A 13,666-nucleotide genomic window follows, 5' to 3' on the forward strand; every position below is an offset into this window, starting at 1 on the left:
ACAGACAGTACCTGGAAAATTGGGACACTCCCACCCTAATAGCACTTTTCCAATAGTCTTAGCAAACGGCACACCAGGAGATGATATCCCACACCTGGCTCCGAGGGTCCCACGCCCATGGAGCCTCGCTCATTGCTAGCACAGCAGTCTGAGGTCGAACAGCAAGGTGGCAGCGAGGCTGGGGGAGGGGCATCTGCTATTGCTGAGGCTTGAGTAGGTAAACAAAGCAGCCGGGAAGCTTGAACTGGATGGAGCCCACCGCAGCTCCAGGAGGCCTGCCTACCTCTGTAGACTCCACCTCTGGGGGCAGGCCATAGCCAAACAAAAGGCAGCATAAACTTCTGCAGACTTAAAAGTCCCTGTCTGACAGCTTTGAAGAGAGTAGTGGTTCTCCCAGCATGGCCTTTGAGATCTGAGAATGGACAGACTGCCTCCTCAAATGGGTCCCTGACCCCCGAGTAGCCTAACTGGGAGACACCTCCCAGTAGGGGCTGACTGACACCTCATACAGTCAGGTGCCCCTCTGAGACGAAGCTTCCAGAGGAAGGATCTGACAGCAACATTTGCTGTTCTGCAATATTTGCTGTTCTGCAGCCTCCGCTGGTGAAACCCAGGCAAACAGGGTCTGGAGTGGACCTCCAGCAAACTCCAACAGACCTGCAGCTGAGGGTCCCAACTGTTGGAAGGAAAACTAACAAACAGAAAGGACATCCACACCAAAATCCCATCTGTACATCACCATCATCAAAGACAAAACGTAGATAAAAACACAAAGATGGGGAGAAAACAGAGCAGAAAAGCTGAAAATTCAAAAATCAGAGAGCGTTTCTTCTCCTCCAAAGGAATGCAACTCCTCACCAGCAACGGAATAAACCTGGATGGACAATGACTTTAACGAGTTGAGAGAAGAAGGTTTCAGATGATCCGTAATAACAAACTTCTCAGAGCTAAAGGAGGATGTACGAATCCATCGCAAAGAAGCTAAAAACCTTGAAAAAAGATTAGACGAAAGGCTAACTAGAATAAACAGCATAGAGAAGACCTTAAATGACCTGATGGAGCTGAAAACCATGGCACGAGAACTGCCTGACACATGCACAAGCTTCAGTAGCCAATTCGATCAAGTGGAAGAAAGGGTATCAGTGATTGAAGATCAAATGAATGAAATGAAGCAAGAAGAGAAGTTCAGAGAAAAAAGAGTAAAAAGAAACGAATAAAGCCTCCAAGAAATATGGGACTAAGTGAAAAGACCAAATCTACGTTTGATTGGTGTACCTGAAAGTGACGGGTAGAATGGAAACAAGTTGGGAAACATTCTTCAGGATACAATCGAGGAGAACTTCCACAACTCAGCAAGGCAGGGCAACATTCAAATTCAGGAAATACAGAGAATGTCACAAAGATACTCCTTGAGAAGAGCAACTCCAAGACACATAATTGTCAGATTCACCAAAGTTGAAATGAAGGAAAAAATGTTAAGGGCAGCCAGAGAGAAACATCGGGTTATCCACAAAGGGAAGCCCATCAGACTAACAGCAGATCTCTTGGCAGAAACTCTACAAGCCAGAAGAGAGTGGGGGCCAATATTCAACATTCTTAAAGAAAAGAATTTTCAACCCAGAATTTCATATCCAGACAAACTAAGCTTTGTAAGTGAAGGAGAAATAAAATCCTTTACAGACAAGCAAATGCTGAGAGATACTGTCACCACCAGGCCTGCCTTATAAGAGCTCCTGAAGGAAGCACTAAACATGGAAAGGAACAACCAGTACCAGCCACTGCAAAAACATGCCAAATTGTAAAGACCAACAATGCTAGGAAGAAACTGCATCAACTAATGAGCAAAATAACCAGCTAACATCATAATGACAGGATAAAATTCACACATAACAATATTTACCTTAAATGTAAATGGGCTAAAAGCTCCAATTAGAAGACACAGACTGCCAAACTGGATAAACAGTAAAGACCCATCAGTGTGCTGTATTCGGGAGAACCATTTCACATGCAGAGACACACATAGGCTAAAAATAAAGGGATGGAGGAAGATCTACCAAACAATGGAAAACAAAAAAAAAGCAGGGGTTGCAATCCTAGTGTCTGATAAAACAGACTTTAAACCAACAAAGATCAAAAGAGACAATGAAGGCCATTACATAATGGTAAAGGGATCAATTCAACGAGACGAGCTAACTATCCTAAATATATATGCATCCAATATAGGAGCACCCAGATTCATAAAGCAAGCCCTTAGAGACCTACAAAGAGACTTAGACTCCCACACAATAATAATGGGAGACTTTAACACCCCACTGTCAACATTAGACAGATCAACGAGATATAAAGTTAACAAGGATATTCAGGACTTGCACCAAGCAGACCTAATAGACATCTACAGAACTCGCCACCCCAAATCAACAGAATATACATTCTTCTCAGCACCACATCGCACTTATTCCAAAATTGACCACATAGTTGGAAGTAAAGCACTCCTCAGCAAATGTAAAAGAGCAGAAATTAAAACAAACTGTCTCTCAGACCACAGTGCAATCAAACTAGAACTCAGGATTAAGAAACTCACTCAAAACCGCTCAATTACATGGAATTTGAACAACCTGCTCCTGAATGACTACTGGGTACATAGCAAAATGAAGGCAGAAATAAAGATGTTCTTTGAAACCAATGAGAACAAAGACACCACATACCAGAATCTCTGGGACACATTTAAAGCAGTGTGTAGAGGGAAATTTATAGCACTAAATGCCCACAAGAGAAAGCAGCAAAGATCTAAAATTGACACCGTAACATCACAATTAAAAGAACAAGAGAAGCAAGAGCAGACACATTCAAAAGCTAGCAGAAGGCAAGAAATAACTAAGATCAGAGAAGAACTGAAGGAGATAGAGACACAAAAAAACGCTTCAAAAAAAATCAATGAATCCAGGAGCTGGTTTTTTGAAAAGATCAACAAAATTGATAGACCGCTAGCAAGACTAATAAAGAAGAAAAGAGAGAAGAATCAAATAGACACAATAAAAAATGATAAAGCAGATGTTACCACCGATCCCACAGAAATACAAACTACCATCAGACAATACTATAAACACCTCTATACAAATAAACTAGAAAATCTAGAAGAAATGGATAAATTCCTGGACACATACACCTCCCCAGACTAAACCAGGAAGAAGCTGAATCTCTGAATAGACCAATAACAGGTTCTGAAAGTGAGGCAATAATTAATAGCCTACCAACCAAAAACAGTCCAGGACCAGAAGGATTCACAGTCAAATTCTACCAGAGGTACAAAGAGGAGCTGGTACCATTCCTTCTGAAACTATTTCAATCAACCGAAAAAGAGGGAATCCTCCCTAACTCATTTTATGAAGCCAGCATCATCCTGATACCAAAGCCTGGCAGAGATACAACAAAAAAAGAAAACTTTAGACCAATATTCCTGATGAACATCAATGCAAAAATCCTCAATAAAATACTGGCAAACCGAATCCAGCAGCACATCAAAAAGCTTATCCACCATGATCACGTCAGTTTCATCCCTGGGATGCAAGGCTTGTTCAACATACGCAAATCAGTAAACATAATCAATCACATAAACAGAACCAACAACAAAAACCACATGATTATCTCAATAGATGCAGAAAAGCCCTGTGACAAAATTCAACAGCTATTCATTCTAAAAATTCTCAATAAACTAGGTATTGATGGAACATATCTCAAAATAATAAGCGCTATTTACGACAAACCCACAGCCAATATCATACTGAATGGGCAAAAACTGGAAGAATTCCCTTTGAAAAATGGCACAAGACAGGGATGCCCTCTCTCACCACTCCTATTCAACATAGTGTTGGAAGTTCTGCCAGGGCAATCAGGCAGGAGAAAGAAATAAAGAGTATTCAGTTAGGAAAAGAGGAAGTCAAATTGTCCCTGTTTGCAGATGACATGATTGTATATTTAGAAAACCCCATCGTCTCAGCCCAGAATCTCCTTAAGCTGATAAGCAACTTCCGCAAAGTCTCAGGATACAAAATCAATGTGCAAAAATCACAAGCATTCTTATACACCAATAACAGACAGAGAGCCAAATCACGAGTGAACTCCCATTCACAATTGCTTCAAAGAGAATAAAATACCTAGGAATCCAGCTTACAAGGAATGTGAAGGATCTCTTCAAGGAGAACTACAAACCACTGCTCAACAAAATAAAAGAGGACACAAACAAATGGAAGAACATTCCATGCTCATGGATAGGAAGAATCAATATCATGAAAATGGCCATACTGCCCATGGTAATTTATAGATTCAATGCCATCCCCATAAAGCTACCAATGACTTTCTTCACAGAATTGGAAAAAACTACTTTAAAGTTTACATGGAACCAAAAAAGAGCCCACATTGCCAAGTCAATCCTAAGCCAAAAGAACAAAGCTAGAGGCATCACACTACCTGACTTCAAACTATACTACATGGCTACAGTAACCAAAACAGCATGGTACTGGTACCAAAACAGAGATATAGACCAATGGAACAGAACAGAGGCCTCAGAAATAATACCACACATCTACAACCATCTGATCTTTGACAAACCTGACAAAAACAAGAAATGGGGAAAGGATTCCCTGTTTAATAAATGGTGTTGGGAAAACTGGCTAGCCATATGTAGAAAGCTGAAACTGGATCCCTTCCTTACACCTTATACAAAAATTAATTCAAGATGGATTAAAGACTTACATGTTAGACCTAAAACCATTAAAACCTAAAAGAAAACCTAGGCAACACCATTCAGGACATAGGCATGGGCAAGGACTTCATGACTAAAACACCAAAAGCAATGACAACAAAAGCCAAAATTGACAAATGAGATCTAATTAAACTAAAAAGCTTCTGCACAGCAAAAGAAACCACCATCAGAGGGAACAGGCAACCTACAGAATGGGAGAAAATTTTTACAATCTACCCACCTGACAAAGGGCTAATATCCAGAATCTACAAAGAACTTAAACAAATTTACAAGAAAAAATCAAACAACTCCATCAAAAAGTGGGTGAAGGATATGAACAGACACTTTTCAAAAGAAGACATTTATGCAGCCAACAGACACATGAAAAAATGCTCATCATCACTGGCCATCAGAGAAATGCAAATCAAAACCACAATGAGATACCATCTCACACCAGTTAGAATGGCGATCATTAAAAAGTCAGGAAACAACAGGTGCTGTAGAGGATGTGGAGAAATAGGAACGCTTTTACACTGTTGGTGGGAGTGTAAACTAGTTCAACCATTGTGGAAGACAGTGTTGCGATTCCTCAAGGATCTAGAACTAGGAATACCATTTGACCCAGCCATCCCATTACTGGGTATAAATATTATAAATCATGCTGCTATAAAGACACATGCACAGGTATGTTTATTGTGGCACTATTCACAATAGCAAAGACTTGGAACCAACCCAAATGTCCATCAATGATAGACTGGATTAAGAAAATGAGGCACATATACACCATGGAATATTATGCAGCCATAAAAAAGGATGAGTTCATGTCCTTTGCAGGGACATGGATGAAGCTGGAAACCATCATTCTGAGCAAACTGTCACAAGGACAGAAAACCAAACACTGCATGTTCTCACTCATAGGTGGGAATTGAACAATGAGAATACTTGGACACAGGGTGGGGAACATCACACACTGGGGCTTGTCTTGGGGTGGGGAGAGGGGAGAGGGATAGCATTAGGAGAGATACCTAATGTAAATGACAAGTTAATGGGTGCAGCAAACCAACATGGAACATGTATACATATATAACAAACCTGCACATTGTGTACATGTACCCTAGAACTTAAAGTATAATTAAAAAAAAAAGAAGAAAAAAAGAAAAAAATTTCTAACAGCAGCCAATAAAAGAGCTGTCATTTCCTAAGGACATGTTTCAGGCACTGGGTTAGATATTTTATGTGCATTACTGTAAGCCTCAGGATTTTTCAACACGGTAATACTATTGTACCATTTTACAGAAGAGAAAACAGAGGTTCTGAGAATTATTATATTTAACTTGCCTATTGACACACAACTGGTAAACGGCAGAGTCAGGACTCAAACCCAGGTCTACCTTATCTCAAACTGTCTCCCTTTCCACTACACTACATTGATTACTTATGTTTCATTCCAATCCTCAAGGGGAACATTTGTTGAAAACTTCTGAAAATCAATTGATTACCAGTATATAGTGAGCCTTTTTATAGTTAAGGTGTCCATGGAGAAACACAGATGCATGAGACACAGACCTGCTATCGAGATAGTTATAAACTATTTGGGAAAATGAAAAACATACACCCACATACACATGCACACACACACAAAAACACACAAACACGTAGTAACCACATGGAGCAGAAAGGGTCTGTGCAACAGAGCAGATTACAAATTACAAATCCAAATGCTACAGGATTCCAAGGTCTGAAATGAAGAAGACCAACGTGGTGGTCAGGGAAGGTCAGAAAGGAGGCAGGATCTGAATCACGAATGAGGAGGAGAGGGGCTCCAGGTTGCTAAAATCTGGGGTGGAATATTCCTTTCAGGAGTATTCCACTGGCCACTGCTACTGGCAAATCCAGGAAGGATTGACTAGAAATAGAGAGTGACTAGAACAGAAATGCTGAGATACTTTGGGGTGGCACAGAATCATGATTAGGAGTACTGCTGTGGCAAATAACTTCCCTCCTATCTTAGGTTCCTTATCTGGAAAATGGAAAATAGGAATAAATATGCCTACGTTACAAGGTGGTAAGAGTAATGAAAGGAGCTGATATGTGCTAAGCCGTTTAGCATAGTAAATGGCACTTCATAGTCACTTGACAAACTGTAGCTCTTTTTATTACCTGACAATCCTGACAGCCATCTTGGTGGTTTCGTGTGCCTTGCTGTTGTGCATAAAATGAAAATAGTCTTGAGAGGTATACAGTAGGCAAGAAATATCCAGCAACTCTTGCAAACTTTCCAGTCTTCCAGAGACAAGAAGCCAGATCAGTTTCCCACCAGATATTGACCCCTCAGACTTCAGGGCAGCTGAGCAGTGGTCTCAGCTGTTCACTGCAGCATGCAGGTAAAATATCCTTCTCTCAGTATGCCAGGATGTGGAAGAGTCGGGAAGCAGGGAATAAGAATCAAGCAAAGGGACAAAGTTTTGTGCAAGGCTGAGTATGCTTATCAGTACATGATAAGTCTCTGTCAGTAGGCATGTTTAAGGGAAAACAATAAGGATTTATTAAATGTTTACTTTGTGTCAGGAACACTTAATTTTATCTTTTTTCAGTCCTCAGAGTATTCTCAGAAATACTCTAAGCAGCATGCCATGGATTTACTTCTATCTGAAATACTCAATATGCATTTACTCTTTGATTTGAAAAAATTACAGCCAATAACTAGCCTCTCTTTACATTTTCTGTTTTCTTCCTCTTCCTCTTCTGTATAGCAAAGATGATTAACCCAAGAAGCACATTAAACTTATCTGAATGACTTTTTAAAAATTCTAGTGTCTGAGCATCACCCTAAAGTTTTGATTGGAATGGCTTGGAGTTTTTCATAAGCATACGTATTTTCTACTTCTTAGGCAACTCCAATGGACATCCAGGGTTGGAACCTTTGCGAGAGGATTCTAACACCTTCTAAATTGTGCTCAATCAATTCCTCCAATTTAATACTACATTCAAAAGTTGACTATCTGAGATTGGTCAGTATCTGAGACCCACAGGAACATATGAACAGAGATACCACTTTGCAACATAAAGAGACAGCAGCCTTACCTCTCTTAGGAATTTTTACAGGTACTCAAACGGAGACTTGAAAAAACAAAATATGTGCCTAGTCTTCCCCCAACACCCAACACACACATCATTACCAAATGCAGGAGTATGCAGTACAGCCACAACTTACATGCTTCTAAGTAATAATGTATTGATGTATAGTTTGCACAAATTGCAATAAATGGCATTTTCTGTTATGTGGTGGGTAATAGATAGTTCTGGAGTGAATACAAGTCCATAATTCATTCAAGGACTGTGCTGATTCTGTAAACTAAAGCTCACAATTTAAGCAGTTAATCTATGGTAGTTTAATGCTGAGAATGAATTTCAGGGTGGTGTTCAATTTGGTGACCATCTATTATTTCAGTTGAAGCATAATTAACTTGACATATATAAGAAGAAGCAAGAGAAATGCTTTCAGGGACTTTTGCCCTTTCTTCTACCTTCCTAACCTCTTGCTACTTCTCCGTGTTACTCTCCAGAATGGTCATTTCCTGCTTCAGAGGCAGACTGGGAACAAGGAAAGGTTGTTTCAGAGACAATTGGCACCATGTCATTTTCACTGCAAAGGCTCAGCTTAAGTGAAACAAGCTAGAGACTATTGTATTTGCCACAACCCATCAGATAATTAGTCTATCAGAAGTGCAGTGGCCTGAGTGACCAAATCTTAAGGCTGCTGGAGAAAGGGAAAAATCCTTTTGAAAATTTGGTTTCCCTCACTGCCACAAGTCTCTTTCTGTCTGTGTTCATCTTCTTTAGCCTGCTGTATCATGGATAGGTTTCCTCCATCTCTTAGAAACTGTGTCTATCTATGAGATGGAGAAAAACCAAAACAGAGAGAACTCTTGGACAATGATCCTATGAAAAATCTTCATCCACTCAGAAACCATGAACTGAAACTAAGCCTTTCAAAAACAGACAATTATTACCACAGACTTTAAAAGAAAAAGCAGAAATCCATTTACTCTAGCAAAATATGACTTCACTGGACTGAAAATTTCTCAATGACAAATTCTTCTAACTTTTCTGCGTTTAAGATATGGCTAAACAGATGATATTGGTTCGATTAATATTAGAAGAGTCAAGACCTTTACAATTTAACATTATAGAAAGAGCAAAATACAATCAGGACTAAGTCTACAATAAAGAATCCATGATGCCACAGCCTTATTTTTCTTGAATTCCAAATGCAGATAGAAAGATTAAGTCAAATTATAGAGACATTAAACGATTATAAAATGGTTAATTCACCCAGAAGACATAACAATTCTAAATCTATATGCATGGAACAAAGCTGCAAAATACATGAAGCAAAAACTGGCAAAACTAAACTAAAAAATAGATGAATCCACAATTATACCTGGAGAATTCAATGCTCTTCTCTCAGTAGAAAATAGAACTAATGGTTAAAAAGCCATCAAGGATACAGAACTGAACACCATCAATTTACTGGATCAAGTATGTATGGAACTACACCAAACAGCAGCAGAGTCTTGTTTTTTCAAGTTACATGGAGCATTCACCAAGATAGGAAATATCCTGAGTCATAAAACAAATCTTAACAAACTTAAATAACACAAGGCATGTCCTCAGATCACAACTGAAGCCTTACACTAGAAATAAAGGAAACATAAAAAGAAAATCTTTACACACTTAGAAATTAAACAGCACACTTCTAAATAATCCATAGTTCAAAACAGGAGTCTAAAGAAAATTGGAAAAATTAGAAAATATTTTGAACTGAATAAAAATAAAACTACAGCATATCAAAATTTCTGTGATGTACCTAAAACAGTGCTTAGAGAGAAACTTATAGCATTAAATGCTTCTGTTAGGAAAAAAATAAAGGTTACAAATAAACAATATAAGCTTACACCTTAAAATAATAGAAAACAAAGCAGAAGGAGAAAAATAATGAAATTAAAAACCAGAAACTAATAGACAAAAATACATGAAATCAAGAGCTGCTCATTTGAAAAGCAAGATTGATCAACCTCTACCAAGACTAACAAAGAAAAAAGGAGAGAAATACAAATCACTAGTATCAGAAATAAATGGAGAGCTATCACTATAGACCCCATGGCCATTAAAAAGAAAGTGAGGGCTATTATGAACAACTCCATGCACATAAATTTGCCAACATATATAAAAGGGATCAATTCCTCAAAACCACAAACTATCAAAGTCTACTTAAGACGAAATAAGTAACATGACTAGTTCTATAACAATAAGAGAAATTTAATCCATAATAAAAGCAATCTTCGAAAAATGAATTTCCAGGCCCAGGTGGTTTCACTGCTGAATTCTACCGTATTCCATCTCTACACTAACTGTTTCAGAATATAGAGGAAATGCTTCCCAGTACATTTTATGAGGCCACTATTACTCTGATACTATTACAAAACAAAAACAGTACAAAAGAAGACCATAGACCAATAACCCTTATGGACAGAAATGCAAAAATTCTCCACAAAATGTCAGCAAATTGAATGCAGTGATATACAAAAAGAATAATATAACATGACCAAGTGATGTTTGTCCTGGCAATGGAAGGCTGACTCAATATTTGAAAATCAGTGTAAATCTATCATAAATCACAGTGTAAATCTAACTATCTAAAGGGGATTTTAACATGATTGAGTTAACTGATGCAGAAAAAGCATTTGACAAAATTTAACATCTATTCATGATTTTAAAAAACTCAACAAGAAGAAACAGAAATCATTTTCTCAACCTGGTAACAAGAGCTATTAAAAAAATAGCCTGTAATCCCAGTAATTTGGGAGGCAGAGGCCAGGAGTTTAAGACCAGCCTGGACAAAATGGTGAAACCCTGTCTCTACTAAAATTACAAAAATTAGCTGGTCATGGTGGTGCACACCTATAATCCCAGCTACTCAGGAGGCTGAGGCATGAGAATCTCTTGAACTCAGGAGGCAGAGGTTGCAGTGAGCCAAGATCACGCCACTGCACTCTAGCCTGGGAAACAGAGTGAGACTCTGTCTCAAAAAAAAGAAAAAAAATCTATTAAAAACCTATAGCTAACATTATACTTAATGGTGAAAGACCAAATACTTTTCCTACTTTGGGAACAAAACAAGAATTTTCACTCTTACCACTCCTATTCAAAAATTGTACTAGAAGTCTTAGCCAGTGAAATAATACAAGAAAAAGAATAAAGCACACAGATTGGAGAAGAAGAAATAAAACTGTCCCTATTCACAGATGAGATAGAGTGTATAAACAGAAAATCTCCAGAAATATATATATAATATATATATTTTATACATATAAATATTATATATAATATATATATCAAATATATACATAAATTTCCTTAAACTACTAAGTGAGTTTAGCAAGGTCACAGGATGAAAGGTCAACACTCAAAAATCAATCCTATTTTTATATACTAGCAACACAAAATTGGAAACCAAAATTTTCAAAAATAATATTTATAATAACTCCAAAAAATTAAATACTTAGGAAAAAAATCTAACAAAACATATACAAAATCTTATGCAAGAAACTACAAAATGCTGATCAAATAAATCAGAAAAGAAAGAGAGAGACATATTTTGTTCATGGATTGGAAGACTCAACATAGTAAAGATATCAATTCTCCTCAAGTTAATCCATAGGTTTAATTCAATTCTAATCAAAATCCCAGCAGGATTTTTTTAACCTTTAGACAAGATGACATTAAAATGGATATAGCAAGGCAAAAACTAGAATAGCTAAAATAATTTTGAAAAAGAAGATTAATAATAGAGGAGTTCAGCTACACAATTTTAAGGCTTACTATAAAGCCACAATAATCAAGAGAATAAAGTGTGAAAGGATAGACACATATATCAATGGAAAAAAAGATGGGGATTCCAGAAACAGCCACACAAATACACACTGTTTTGACAAAAGTATAAAAGCAATCCAATGGGAAAAAATATGATACTCTTTTCAGCAAATGATCTTGGAACAACTGGATGTCCATAAGCAAAAAAATAATAAACTTCAACCTAAACCTCACCTCACATGTCATCCAAAAATTAACTAAAACAAATCATAGATATAAATAAAATGTAAATCTATAAAACTTCCAAAAGAAAAACATCGTAGAAAGCCCTTATAGCCTAGGGATAAGGAAAGCTTTTTTAATCATGACACCAGAAGCACATCCATAAAGGAAAAAAATTGATAAACTAGTCTTCATCAAAATTGAAGATATTTGCTTGGCAAAAGTCACTTCTAAGAGGAGTAAAATGTAAGCAACAAACCGGAAGAAAATATTTGCAAGTCATATATGTAACAAAGTATGTATATCCAGAATCCATAAAGAACTCTCGAAACTTATCACTAAGAAAACAGACAACTCAATTTTTTTAAATAAGCAAAATGAACAGATACTCACCAAAGAGGATACAAAAATGGCAAATAACCACACAAAAGATGTTAAACATCATTAGTGACTAGGAAAATTTACATTAAAATCATAAAGAGTTACCTCTACTTGTTAGAATGGCTAAAATAAAAAACACTGACAATACCAAGTGCTGATTAGGATGCAGAGTAACTGGAACTCTCATATATTACTGGTGATAGTGTAAATTACCACAGCCATTCTGAAAACGGTTTGACAATTTCTTATAAAGTGAAACATACGTTTACCATATGACCTAGAAATATCATTCAAGGGTATTTACCCTAGAGAAATGAAAACTTATGTTCACACGACAACGTATACACAAAAGTTTATAGCAGCTTTGTTCATAATTGCCAAAAATTGGAAAGAATCCAAACGTCCTTCAACAGGTAAATAGATAAACTGTTAGTACATCCACATGATGGAATGGAACAATAAGAAGGAATGGTAAAAGGAAGAATAAAGAGAAACAAACTATTGAAAACACAACTTGGATGAATTTCAAAGGTATTATGCTGACTGAAAGAAACCAGTTTCAAAAGATTACATACTGTAAAATTCCATTTATATAAAATTTTCAAAAAGACAAAAAGCTATAGAGAGCAGTTCCGTGGTTGCCACGGGTTACAGGTTGGAGAGAATATCCTTTCAAAAGGCTTGCACAAGAGAGTTGTTTGGGATAATGGAATTATTCTGTATTCTACTTGTGCAATAGTTAGATGAATCTGTACACGTGCTAAAATTGATAGAACTGCAGAATAAACAATAAAATACTTATGTATATAACATTCATGTAGTATGTATATTACATATTCATGTATTATACTTAAGTGTGTTGCTGTGTTTTAAGATTTCCTCCTTGAAAGTCAACACAAGGAATAGCACATCCTTGGAATAAACTGAAGGATTACAATTATGTTGGTGTTTTCCCACTAATCGTGAACTCCATAATCCACCGAGCTGTTAACAGCCAAAGATGGCTGCAGAGAAGAGAGGCTATGAGGCTGACTTTCCTTGTAGGTGGAAAGTCGCAAGTAGCTTTAAATGGAAGAGTTGCTGGGTCTTGCCATGGAGGCCCAAGTTAAGGGAGGATGCACAAATGCTGGTTCAGTCAAGAAATTAAACCAAAAAGCCTTTTTCAAAATTGCAAAGCTCTCAAAGGGGTAATTACAAACTGCTAACAGTGAGTCATGTCTAGGTCTGAATCAGCTTATGATGTGTTTCCCTTAAGGCGATTGAAGAAATGGGAGTTAGAAGAATGGAAAAGAACAGGGAAAGGTAATTTTGAAGTATAGGGTACAGTTTCAGGAGAGCAGATCTGAATGGAATTGTATAGTCAAAATAATCACAACAGACAGATAACCAGTCAGGGAAAAAAGGAGGCAGAAGACTTGAACAAACACTTCTCAAAAAAAGAATATT

This window comes from Homo sapiens, chromosome 8, assembly GCF_000001405.40.
Source record: "Homo sapiens chromosome 8, GRCh38.p14 Primary Assembly".
In the NCBI taxonomy this organism is placed as follows: Eukaryota; Metazoa; Chordata; class Mammalia; order Primates; family Hominidae; genus Homo; species Homo sapiens.